General features: G+C 49.0%; 1 protein-coding gene across 3 annotated transcripts in view, besides 2 other annotated features; it reads left to right on the top strand.

Annotated features, from left to right (window-relative positions):
• The window catches only part of HS1BP3 (HCLS1 binding protein 3), a 97,238-nt gene extending 88,997 nt beyond the window's left edge, over positions 1–8,241 (top strand). Inside the window, exons 7-8 of one of the 3 annotated variants that reach the window (XM_017004698.2) lie at positions 1,587–1,763; positions 8,157–8,241. In XM_017004698.2, coding sequence (XP_016860187.1) covers positions 1,587–1,763; positions 8,157–8,226 — 247 coding nt within the window. In that variant the 3' untranslated portion in view covers positions 8,227–8,241. Of the gene's footprint in view, positions 1–1,586; positions 1,764–3,907; positions 5,637–8,156 lie in introns of those variants that run through there. The other 2 variants (XM_017004696.3, XM_017004697.3) reach the window with 2 other exon arrangements.
• Positions 487–1,009: an enhancer, noted in NCBI's record as "H3K27ac-H3K4me1 hESC enhancer chr2:20760853-20761375 (GRCh37/hg19 assembly coordinates)". NCBI's record gives its function as "activates a minimal SCP1, AML or CMV promoter by ChIP-STARR-seq in naive H9 embryonic stem cells {active_cell/tissue: H9 hESC(naive)}" and the evidence as "EXISTENCE:reporter gene assay evidence [ECO:0000049][PMID:30033119]".
• Positions 9,906–9,975: a silencer, noted in NCBI's record as "silent region_11211". NCBI's record gives its function as "represses an Ori minimal core promoter by ATAC-STARR-seq in GM12878 lymphoblastoid cells {active_cell/tissue: GM12878}" and the evidence as "EXISTENCE:reporter gene assay evidence [ECO:0000049][PMID:35858748]".

Raw genomic sequence — 12,866 nt, 5'->3', positions numbered from 1 at the left:
GCCTCCATGCCTTGTCCGGGTGCATTCCCTCCCAGCACCTCCACGTGGTTAGCAATCCGGAAGTTCCCCAAACCTAGTCCTTTGGGGTTTTTATGGAGGCTTTATTACTTCTGTATGATTGATTAAATCATTGGCCATTGTTGATCAGCTCAACCTTCAGCCTCTCTTCCACCCCAGGAGGTTGGGCGCTAGGGTTAGAAGTCCCAACCTTCTAATCACGTCTTGTTCTTTCTGGTAATCAGCCCTCATCCTGAAGCTATGCAGGGGCCCCCAAGTCATGAGTCACCAGTCATCTCATTAGCATAAAAAAGATACTCATCACTCTGGCAATTCCAAGGGTTTTAAGGAGCAGTGTGCCAGAAACCAAGAAGACAAAATATATATTTCTTATTACATCACAGTATCACAGCAGGGGTCCTGGGAGTGTGCATTTTGAGACGGAGGGGCAGAACCATTTGGCCACAATAAAATGTTCCAAGTGTTCTGGAAGAATGCTTGTGTACGCATATGCATATGTGTGGAGGCATGTGGGTGTGTGTGTATGTGTGTGCAGGTGGGGAGGGGTTGTATGTGTGTGATGGAGGGAAGCCAACAGAGACATTGTGGCATCGTGGACCAGCCTCTGGGACTCTTGTGCTCTAGCTCAATAAATATCTGTTGAGGCCCTACTGTGGTCAGGCATTGTGAGGCCCATTTATTTACTGCTCTTTTGTCTATTAACCCATTTGTTCTGCAAATGTGTATTGGGCAGCTGTTCTCTGCAGGCCCTGAGTCAGCTGTTGGGGACAGAGACGAACCAGACACAGTGCCTACCCTCAGGGCTCTGCATGCAGTGGGAGAAAGGGATCCCATGTGCCAGCTCTGAGCTGCAGGACAGCGAGGGCACCACAGGAGAAGACTGGGGAGCATCCCCAAGGAGTGGGCACTGGGCAGGACCTGCAGGTGTGACAGAGAATAAGCAAACCACCAGGCAAAGGCACAGAGGCATGACGAGGCAGGCATGTTTGGAAAGATGGCACAGAGGAGTCAGTGCAAGTCTAGACCTGGAGAGACCTGGGATGCCAGCTGGGGGTAGGGTGTACTGGCTGCTCTCTCTGGATTCACTGCTGCCCTCTGCCCCTTGTGGGGACTGAAGAGGCTCCTGTTGCCCCAGGGTCATTCTCAGACCCTGCTTTCCCTTCCTCTTCTTTCTCATCACCATCACACCCACTCCCTTCATTGCTGCTCCCACCCACAGTCCCCAGGGAGGCGTCAGTTCCAGGGACAGAACAGTGTCCTCAGCTACTCTAGGGGCACCACCGCTTTGGGACCTGCCTGCAGTCGGAGGCCATAGGGATGAAGGCAAGAGCCAGGCCTGAGAGTTGGAAGGCCTGGCTCTGCTTCTGACTCCAGTATTTTCTGCCATGTGACCTTGGGTGAGTCCCTTCTCTCTGGGCCTCAGTTTCTGACTCTGTCAAATGAGAAAACTGTCTACACAGGTGTGTGTAGACAACCATTTCTTTCCTGCCTGCCTCAATGCTAACATAGTAGAGGTCAAGTCATTTGATAAACACCAAAACACACATCTGTTCTTGTTATTCCTGCAGGACACTGGCTCATAAGGGATTTCAATGTGCACAGAGCAACTGCCTCCTCACCTCCCCACGGATTCCACTACAACCATCTAGGAGGACCACAGCAGCTTCGTCTAGCCTTCCCCTTCCCCCAGGATCCTGGGCTGGGGTGGAGGAGGAGGCGCCACTGCAGATCCAGTATGGTGAGAGGTGAGAAAGCTGTTCCCCAGGCCTGGGTGCTGCCCCAGGTTCTGCCACCTACCCACCCACAAATGAGATAGTGGGCCTGGCCATGTCCTGGTCCTCAGCCCTGGGACATGTACCTTCTACCAGCCCTGGAACCACCTTCCCCATTGCCTTTTGCTAGCCTGTGCTTAGAGTTTGCAAAGCTAGCCATGAGAGCCAGCCTGGCTGTGTCAATGTACAAAAGCAGCCAAATGTCCATGGGGTCTGTGCCTCCCCAGCCCTGCTTGTATGTGCTGGGCTGCCAGATGAGAGCAGGTATGGTGGCTTCCCCAGTGTGCAAGCTGACTTAGAAACAGGTCACCTGGTATTCCCGCTGCTAAGGATTTAGAGACTCAGGGTGCTTCATTTCTCTTTCCCTAGAACAACCTCTGAACTGCCTTGTGACCTTTCAGGAGCTTATTCACAGCATAAAAATCGCAAGTGGTGCACAGCTCAGGTGTGAGGGAAGCCCAGAGCAGGCCTCCCTAGGCAGGGTGAGAAAGGCTGATGAGTGCCAGTGCAGTGCCTGGATGCAGAGGGGCTGGAGACAATGTCTGCCACCCATCTATCCATCATCCATCCATCCATCCATCCATCCATCCATCCATCCATCCACCCACCCACCCGTCCATCTACCCATCCATTCATCCACCCATCCATCCATGCACCCATCCATCCATCCATCTACCTATCCATCCACCCATCCATTCATCCACCCATCCATTCATCCACCTATCCATCCATGCATCCACCCATCCACCTCCATTCATCCACCTATCCATCCATGCATCCATCCATCCACCCATCCATCTACCCATCCATCCATTCATCCAATCATCCATCCATCCATCCATTCATCCATCCACCCACCCATCTATCCACCTGTCCATCCACACATCCAACAAATACTCACTGCGTTCTTCTACAAGCACTGGGAGACCCTGTAGAAAGGACCCAATCCTACCCTTGAGGTGCTTGGGAACAGACAGATGCAGTGACAGCGGGAGTCAGATCGGGCCTCATGGGAGCTGGTAAAGGGAGCATTGCCAAGGCATTGCAATTCCAACCTGCCTGGAGGATTAGTTTTGGTCCCAAAGGAGAAGGTTTTTGAGCTGGCCCTGAGGGGAACTGGGGCTTTGTGGGGTGAGCTGTGCAAGAAGGATGGTAGCCCTCTCCCTCTCTGGCCCCAGTTCCTACATTGACAAAGAAGTTGGACTAGAGGCACTCCAGGGCCCACTGAGATCCATGCAGATACAGCAGACTTTCCTTCCTGCATTCACGCTCCTCACGATGTGAGTCCTGGGTGCCAGCAAGCCCTGCTCTGCGGCCAGCCCAGCTTGCGATGCAGCACATCCAGGTCACACAGCAGCCTCAGGCACTTCTGCAGACCCTGTGTATCTCAACCTAGCCTCACGCTCCCAGACTGCCTCAGACCTGCCCCTGAGATGTGAGCCCAGCAGCGCCCACCCAGCCAGGCCCTACCCCCTCTGTGGTCATGGGCCCCCCAGTAGAGTGGCCCTCCCCTCCCACAGGCTTGGAGGGCTGAGTCTGTCTCTGGGGCCCTGTAACCATCTTGCTCCAGTGTCTCTACCACTGCAGGGGCATCTGCTTCCCATGCTGGAAATCAGCCAAGTCTCCCCTGTGCCGCTGGGCCCTGTTCCTGTGTCTTCTCTGTCCATGTGGGTTTGCCTCCCCCTTGAAGGTAGAATTCACAGTTCTCCATCCCACCCTCTTCGTGCCAGCGCAGTGCCTGACACATCCCCTCCGTCCGTTTCTGAAGAGGGAAACTGGGCAGCAGAGGTGTCCCTGGGCTCCTTGCCCAAGGCTGTCAGCTACCTTGCAGCCCAGAACTGAGACGGAGGCATGATACCCCACTGACCTCAAAGATGCTCAATAAGGGAGGGTGCAGATGAATGAGAAATGAGGAAATGGAGGCACAAAAGTACCAGGTGTCCAAACAGGAGGCAGAGAGGGGCCGCAAGCGGTTCAGCCTCCCTGGAAGCCAAGTAGGTGGTCCAAGCTCTTCCCCTCCCATCTGGCGACCCCTTCCATTACCTTCCCCACCCACCGTCAACGTTGCTGCCCAGAGCCCTTCAATGCTATTCCCTCTCCCACCTCTTCTCCTTCAGAACTGTCCTACACTTCCAAATTATCTCATCTCCCCTCTGCACCCCCATCCCTGGCTGCTGGTGTCAAGAGGAAAGCAACCCGCTCAACTAAATCACATGGATACAGACGCAGTGAACAATGTCCAAGTGGGTCCTTGAAAAGTAGCCTCTATCTGGGGATGCTAAGTCTGGAGGGAGAGGGAGGTGCTCTTTCGAGGGGCAGCCAGCAGCCTGGTGCCCTCTGCTTTGCAGAACTTGGGATAAGGCAGAAACCCTGCCGGGTCAGACCAGGGCTCCTCAAGAGGCCTGGGGCTCACTTGCCCTCCTCAAGGCTTTGAGGACCCCTTGGGGAACTGCCTCTCCTCTTGTTGCCCTAAACCCACACCATCTTGGCACCTGGCCCCTGCAGGGTTCTGCATTCCTGAACCAGGAGAGAGCCATGTTCAGGAATGCAGGCTGACTTCTCAGCAGCTCTGCATCCATCACAAATAGCTGATGCTCTCCGAAGGCCTCTAGAAACCTGCAGAGCACCCTCCTTGCCTTTCTCTGTGTCTTTCCAGCTTTCTCAGAGGGACCCAAAGACTTCCAGAGGGGAGCTTTCCACTCCTGATAGTAGATAAAGGATGGCTTCTCTATCCCATCCAAATGCTATAGAAATGTACACGTGTGGAAATCCCTATCAACATGACAAAGAGTTCATCAGGGTCAGAGATTTGTGTTGGAAAATGGGAAGAGGATTATACTGAACTAATGACTAAACCAGATCAAAGAAGTCACAACCTAAAAGTGGCCCAACAGAGATCAGCAGCAGAGTCTCCATAGAGGGTCAAGCCAGGAGGCCCAGCCGTCATCATTCAGAGTCCTAGAAAATGGAGAAAATAACCGCTGTTGGAAAATACAGGTCTTTGTCTGGAAGGCAGGACATCCTAAAATACCCTTATGAAATTTCGGAAGGCCAATGATAAGATCTTAGCTTCCAGAAAATAAAAAAAGAGGTCACTTGCAAGAAAAGGGAATCGCATTAGCATCAGAATTTGCATTTGCATCAGAATTTACAACAGCATAGATGCTAGAGGTCAATGGGATCAGAGAGAAAATGATTTTGAACCTTCAATTCTACAACTAGGCAAACTATCAATTAAATACCCTTTCAGACAAAGATTGTTTGAGGACATATTACATGCAAAATTAGAAAGGAATCTGAAAGACAGGAAGGCATGGGGTAGAACGAACAGTGGAATTAGCGCAGTGTGGTGCCCTGAAAGGAAATCCCAGCTGCGGGCTGCACAGGAACCAGAAAGCCAGTTCAGAACCTTCCCCACTGATTACAAATCTGGGTGATTTTAAGGACATGGAAAAGAAGAGTGTGTTTCTTCTTTGGATGAGAAATGAAAGGCAGAACAAGAAGGAGCCAGGAAAAAGAACAAACTGAACACGGCAGTCATGGCCCAAATATGTACAATTTAAACTAAAATGCAGCAACTGATGGGTTTGAGAAGCTGATGGCGTGTGCAGTAAGAGAATCCCTCTGACCCCAAGTCTTGTGTCTTCTTCAAGCAGCCTAGGTTTAGTGACTTGAGAATACAGTTGCTTCTCTGAGGGGCCAACCTGGTACTGTTTTTGTAATCATAGTACTATAAGAGCTATGTTGAAATCGACCTATAGACAAAGCCCAGAAGTCATAGCTTAGAAATGCGGTAACCTTGATCATATAAAAGAAGTTAATAAAGTAAAAGAATTTGATAATATATTTGATAAAGTTGAAGGGTCTGATGATGTAAAATAAGTCAGAACATAAACTCGGATTGATGAGAAGTGGAGGCAGAAACCATTTTCTTCTTACAGAATGGGCAGTCAGGACACATTTTGCAAAGCTGATGGAACAAAACCATACCAAGGTTTAAGCAAATTACCTAATGTTATAAGGATAACTAAAAGAGCTAAAAATAATATAACAAAACCAGGAGATGAGTGAAAGCAAAGTGAGGAAGAAGTACACTAAATGTATCAGTTCTCATAGCAGGAAGTCAATAGAAACTGCCCAAAGTTAACAAACTGTGAAATAAAGATCTAAGCATATTCAGAACTATGGTACTAGAATAGAAATAGAAACAGTCAAATGGTTTCTTCTGGGTAGTGAGATGGGCATAATCCAGACTTACTTTTGATTTATTACCATTCTCTTCTCTTTGCATCTTTATTTTGCACCTGTCTACAGCACTTTTACCTTCACACATAGACTCAATATATTGTGAAGTCTTACAGAGGAAGAACTGAGGGAAGGGGAAGGGTCTGGATGGGTGGTCAGGTATGTATGCAGAGGTGAAGTGGGGAAGGGGAGTGAGAATTGGGATTCCATTTTCTCCTGTGGGTGTGTCTGGGAGTTTCTAAGATCAAGAAGCCCATTGCATTATACCAAGGTCAGTGTTCACAGTAGGTGCCCAAAGAAGTTTCATAACTGGATACAAGGAAAAGAGCTAAGCTCCTCCCACACACAGAAGGAAGAAAGGAAGAGGGAAGGAGGAAAGAAAAAAGAAGAAAGGGAGGAAGGAAGAGGCAGGGGGGTGGGGAGCAAGGAAGGAAGGAAGGAAACTCACCATATGTAAACCCAAAGGCTCTGTTGGGCTACTTGCTCCTCCCTCTGGGGCTTTCGTCTTCATGGGGTCCTCAGGGTATGTGAAGGTACCTGATGCTACCACCTCCCCATGTGGGTACCCCTATAGTGAGGGCTGGCTTCATGCATGTGTGACCTGTGCCATTACCCAGGGCCTTACTCTGAGAAGGGCCACATATTGGATTAATGCTCTGCTGTCACCAACTTGTCATTCTTAATCATTTCTGAACAAGGACCCCACAGTTTCCTTCTGCCCTGGGCCCCAAAAACTAGGCAGCCGGAACTGCCTACAGTCCTATAGTTGGTCTGATAACAGCCACCTGGCCTCTTAAGCCGTGGACCCTGCCCACCTTGGGCTCACTCAACAGAGATGAAAAAACAAGTCAGATAAAGGCCTTGTTTTGGAACAGTTCCTAGCGTCGCATGGGGAGAAAGTCAAGAAACATTAAGTGGGGATGATACCACAGTGAGCTTAGTGAGACAATGGTGTAAACATGGATTGCGAGGGAAGCACAGAGAACAGTTAGCGCTGCAGGCCCAAGACTAATGCCTGTTCCGTTTCAGGCCGAGGCAGGGAAAGGGTGTGTGAATGCACAGGAAAGTCAAGTTCCCGCATGGCAGAAGGGCAGGATGCTGGGCCAGGAGGAGCTGGAAAGGTGGCCACGGTGGGGCTAGGACCAAGCTAGAACGTTAGAGCTCTGTCCTGAAGGCAGTGGGTTTTAAGTAGGGGGTGGATGCAAGGATCATATTTTTGTATGCAAAGAAGCACTCTAAGGTAAATGTAGCCAAAGGATAGAGGTGGAGACTCAAGCTAAGCCTTCTCAGTTCATCACTTCATATAGGGAAGACAAGGCACTGTTCCAAACCCTGTCTGAGTGCTTTTTTTTTTTTTTTTGTGAGGTGGAGTTTCACTCTTGTTGTTCAGGCTTGAGTGCAATTGCAACCTCCGCCTCCTGGGTTCAAGCGATTCCCCTGCCTCAGCCTCCCAAGTAGCTGGATTACAGGTACCCACCACCACGCCCGGCCAATTTTTATAGTTTTAGTAGAAACGGGTTTTCACCATGTTGGCCAGGCTGGTCTCGAACTCCTGACCTCAGGTGATCCGCCGGCCTCGGCCTCCCAAAGTGTTGGGATTACAGGCATCAGCCACCGCGCCTGGCCCCTGAGTGCTTCTTAAGCTTTGTGCGTGTTTGTTAGACAGTGATGCATGTATGTCTGTGCTCACTGAGGAGTGTTCATATGCTGCATGAATGTGTGTTAGGAGCGTGTGTCAGGCTATTGAGACGCATGACCAGTGACCTCAATGTTAGCAGATCATTCTCCATGGATCTCTTGTGTTTCTGCACATCTTACAAGTGAGGCACTGACTGCTTTTTGTTCTGGACTGTCTTTTCAAGGGTGTTGTATGACGAACAGCCTTGGTAGATAGAATTAGTGTCCTACTTCTGAGAGAAGGCAGGCATAGTTCCTGCTTATTATAAGACTTGGGAGTCCTAAGCTCAGAGTTCTTCCTCCCCTGTAATGTAACATAGATGTCATCTAATTCTCTTGACATCACTCGGTGGGAATTAGGGATCGGGGCCAGGCACTAAAATGCTGATACTCTGGTTCCTGGTATTGCTGTGAATACTAAACCGTCCTTCATCCCTGGCCCAGGAATCTCATGGCTTCCACCAGAATCCTCAAAACCACAGCACATCAGTTTGCTAGCTTGCACAAAAGGTAAGATCTCAGACCATTCCACGTTCTTGACACTATGTTTGTAAATACGTGTGTTTCAGTGAATCTGGCTTTGACCACATTTGTACGTACATGGAAGGATTATAGGGCTGTGGTTGCTGTGGGCCAGGTTGTTTCAGAGTTTGTACATATTGGGAAACCAGCTCCAGGATGTTTGACTCTATATGAGAAAACAATGACCGTGTATTGATATGGGACTATACCAGCTACACTCTTTGAAAGATAGGAAAGAGATGGGGTCTGCTGTGGTTTAAATGTGCTTCCCAAAGTTCATGTGTTGGAAAAATTCCCAGTGCAACAGTGTTGGGAGATGGGACCTTTAAGAGGTGATCATGTTATGAGGGCTCTGCCGTCGTAGATGGATTAATGCTGTTATTGCGCAGCAGGTTAGTTATCAAGGGTATAGTTAGTGATGGTGGCAGTGGGCTCCTGATAAAAGGGTAAATTTGGGGCCTGGCATGGTGGCTTATACCTGTAATCCCAGCATTTGGGAGGCTGAGGTGGGAGGATCGCTTTAGCCTAGGAATTTGAGAGCAGCCTGGGCAACATGGTGAAATCTCATCTCTACAAAAAACGCAAAAATTAGCTGGGCATGGTGGCGCATGCCTGTAGTCCCAGCTACTCGGGAGACTGAGGGGTGGGAGGATCACTGGAGCCCAGGAGGTTGAAGCTGCAGTGAGCCATGATGGTACCACAAACTGCAGCCTGGGTGACAGGGCAAGAGCCTGTCTAAAAAAAAAAATAAAGGATAAGTTTGGCTCTCTTCCTGTCTGTCTCACACACCCACTTACTTGCCCTTCTGCTTTCTGCCATGGGACGATGCAACAAGACAGCCTTCACCGGATGCTGAGCAGGTGCTGGGCCTGTGCCCTTGGACTTCCCACCCTCCAGACCATAAGTCAAATAAATTCCTTTCCTTTATAAATTATCTAGTCTGTGGCACTCTGTTATGGCAACATAAAATATACTAAGACAAGGACTAAAAAACATGGAGAGACAGATTTCCCCCACCACACATGCACCTGCCACTTAGGCTCATAGGGTACAATGGGTGCTCTGCCAAGTTCAGGAGCACTGGATTGAACTAGGTTGATGGTAGCGAGCACAGGAAGAGACCTATGGGGACCATCAGAGGTATAATACGAGGCTGGACTCTTGTAAAGGGGCCTTGCTTTGTGGAATAAGATCTTCTTTTCCACCCATCTGAAATCTCTGTCAACACCTGGCCCATTGGTATCAGACTCTGGGATTTAAGTCCCAGCTCTGGTTTTTGTTTTTTAAATTATTCTTGATATCTTTTCTCTAGGAGCTAAGCTTGAAAATCACCCTTCTAAAGTACCTATTATACCTTTCCAGCCAAGAAAATGGCATAGGACACTCATAAATTAACTATCTTATCGAGAGATTAGAACAGGAGCCTGAGCCCATGCCCCAGGGATAGCGTTTCAGCCTCCTCCAATTTCCAATTACGTATTTTGCTCACGTCTCTTGATCCAGTCGACTTGGTGGAAGGAGGGATTTGGTAGAAAAGAAACAACACCCAAGTACTGACTGCCCTGAGCACAGCACTGTGTGCTTTACCTGCATTCTCTTTTCTGACCCTTCAAAATCACGCTCTGTGGTCGATGCTACAGTCCCCATTCGAGAGGAGAAAGCTGAGGACTAGAGTTTGGCCATTGGTCCAAGTGCATACAGAGGCAGAGCCCAGCAAGGGTGGGGGAAGAGGGTGGCAAGGACAGCCAAGACAGGAAGTGAGAAGAGAATTCTTGCTGTCAGAAGGTGCTGACAAAGCCACAGAGAAATTGCAAGGGCACCAGAAGGCTTTTCAGAGGAGGTCGAGGCACAGGTAAGGGGGAGTCGGCAGAAGGAGAGGGAGTGAGTGTTTTGAGAGGTCAGCAGCTGGAGTTCCAAACCTTGCAATGGATTGAGTTGGAAGCCCCTTAAGGCTGCAATTACAGCTACACAGTAACATCCCTCTGCATCAGGCCCATAGGCTAGACATCACACTGCCCCCATTCCCATATCCACACCACTGCTGAAATCCATAGATGGGTCCACTGTGGCAGGTCAGCCGTGGAAGCCTCCCGGGCAGACAATGGCCTTGTTGCCTCCTCCCTGGCTTCTCTCAGCCTCTGTTATTAACATTCAGGCAGCTCTTCACACCATTCGTCGAAGGCCACGGAGGAGCTGAGATCTGATCTAGCCTGGCTGAGCTGCATTAAAATCAATTAAAAATGAGAGACAAGCCTCTTCTTTCCAATGGAAAAATCCACAGGAGCAAGAGAAAGACACACACAGCCCCATCAATCATTCCAGGCTCTGCTTTCCTTGGGCTTTTCTTCTCCACTAAACAGCTGCAGGACGAGCCGGCTGAGCAGAAAGGTCTTCTTGCCATGGGGCTGTGGCCAGCGGCTCCCAGACTGGGCCTCAGCTGCCAACAGGATGTGCCTGCTATCCCGTTGCCAGCCTGACTGCCTGGCAGTCTGACCTCAGCTGGGATGAGCAGAGAGCAACCAAGGAGAAGTCCAGAAGCCTATCCCTTGAGCCATCTCATGAGGCCTGATGCCACCTCCCCTTTCTCTTCTGGGCCCAGAATTTAGGCCTCCAGGAAACCTTGTATTGCAGGCTTATCTTACCTGTCTCTGAAGATCTGACCCGAATTAGACTTCTCTTATTCCTCTTTGGAGAGTTTTTACTGCTGTGATGATTCCTGTGCAACTGTGTTTCCCGATTTTTTCCAAGGAAGAATGGGGTGTGTGTGTATGTTTTATGCACTGGGACCTGCACCCACACAGGGCCTAGCACTAAGTAAACATTCGTCAAATGAATGAGAAAAACAAGATCAACATGCATCTGCCATCCAACAGCTGTAACCAATCAAGCAGACAGCATTTGATGCCGGTTTAGGTATTTTCTTTTTTCTTTTTTTTTTTTTTGAGGCGGAGTCTCCCTCTGTCGCCCAGGCTGGAGTGCAGTGGTGCGATCTCAGCTCACTGCAAGCTCTGCCTCCCGGGTTCATGCCATTCTCCTACCTCAGCCTCCCAAGTAGCTGGGACTACAGGCGTCTGCCACCGTGCCTGGCTAATTTTTTTAATTTTTAGTAGAGACAGGGTTTCACCATGTTAGCCAGGATGGTCTCGATCTCCTGATCTTGTGATCTGCCCACCTCGGCCTCCCAGTTTAGGTACTTTCAGTTGCAACCTGAGGTTATCCATTTAACAGTTTATTTATTTAACTGGTGGCCACATCTTTGATTGTCCTCTTGACACACTGAGAAAGTGTTCATTCTTCTTTTAAAAAAAAATTAGAGATAAGGGTCTCCCTATGCTTACCAGGCTGGTCTTGAACTTCTGGCCTAAGGCAATCCTTCTGCCTCAGCCTCCCCAAATGCTGGGATTGCAGACCTGAGCCACCATGTTTGGCCAAAAGTGTTCATTCATATAGATGCACCCAGCCCCAGCACAGTGTCATGCCCAGGATGTCAGGCTTCCTGGAAGAAGTGGGCTTGACCTCAGCCTATAAAGGTGAGTGAATTTGGCTGGGCAAGACTACAGTGGAGAGCTTAAAATATTTAAATTGACAGTGAAAGGAGTCTAGACTTGCTCTGTGTGAGCCACTCCTGTTCATACTACAGATGGCCTACCCTCACCCAAATGACTATTTTATACCCTCCCCTGAGTGAAGATGACCCTAGAGAGTAGGCTTAATGGACAATGAGAAAGAGTATCTTGATCCAGAGCCACTGGGATTTTCTTGGGTGTTCCAACATGCAGGCACTGATTGGATTGGATTTGAAATACAATTCTTCCCAGTAATTTATGGAAGGATATTGACTCAAATGCATAATTGTTTCAAGTAATCAGAGCACTTTGCAATTCATTCATTTAGAAGCTTAACCTGTCATGTGAGTTGTTAAATCACAATTGCAAAGGCTGAGGCTTCAGTAATGCTCCCACTGGACCAAGTATGTCATGGACATAACCAAATACCATTGGTGGAAGGGTGTTCTCTGCTTCTCATGGTGCGGGTATGTGAAGAGGCAGCCAGTTGGAAAGAGATTGTCAGTTGAAAGAGTTCAAGCCTTGATTATTTACTATTGTGTAATTCAGAGAAAACTATTAATTAGCTGAAGTGCTTAGACCTCTAGGCAGTGCAGGCTGTTTTCAATGCACGGCTGGTGATAAAGAAGGGCCTTACTCACCAGCTCTGAAATCAGGGGTTCATAAAGCAACTCACTTTGTGACTTTGTTCATTGATTCATTCACAGCACTTGTTCATTTATTCATTCAACAATATTTATGGAGTGCTTTCTTTCAAGGCCTTTGGAAGGGGTGGATTTCTGAAATATTTAACAACTAGAATGGCCTGGGCAAGAAGCAATTAGAATAAGAAGCTGACTGATCAGAACAGACACTACCTATAAACAACCAACATACTCTGATTTGCACAGGTGTGATCTCAACCCTGGGGCTGATGGCGCAGAAGTGAGCATGAACGACAGCTCACGTTCTGGTGGCCTTGTGGGAAAGGTCAGTCGGGGCTTCCCAGAAGGGATGCTTCTACGACGAATCCTGCAGGAGCAGAGGGAGAAGAAAGGAAGCAGGCACCCCTGGGATTCGGGGTGGA

The sequence above is a fragment of the Homo sapiens genome, chromosome 2 (genome assembly GCF_000001405.40).
Source record: "Homo sapiens chromosome 2, GRCh38.p14 Primary Assembly".
NCBI lineage: Eukaryota > Metazoa > Chordata > Mammalia > Primates > Hominidae > Homo > Homo sapiens.
This window is presented reverse-complemented; position numbering and strand designations above follow the sequence as displayed.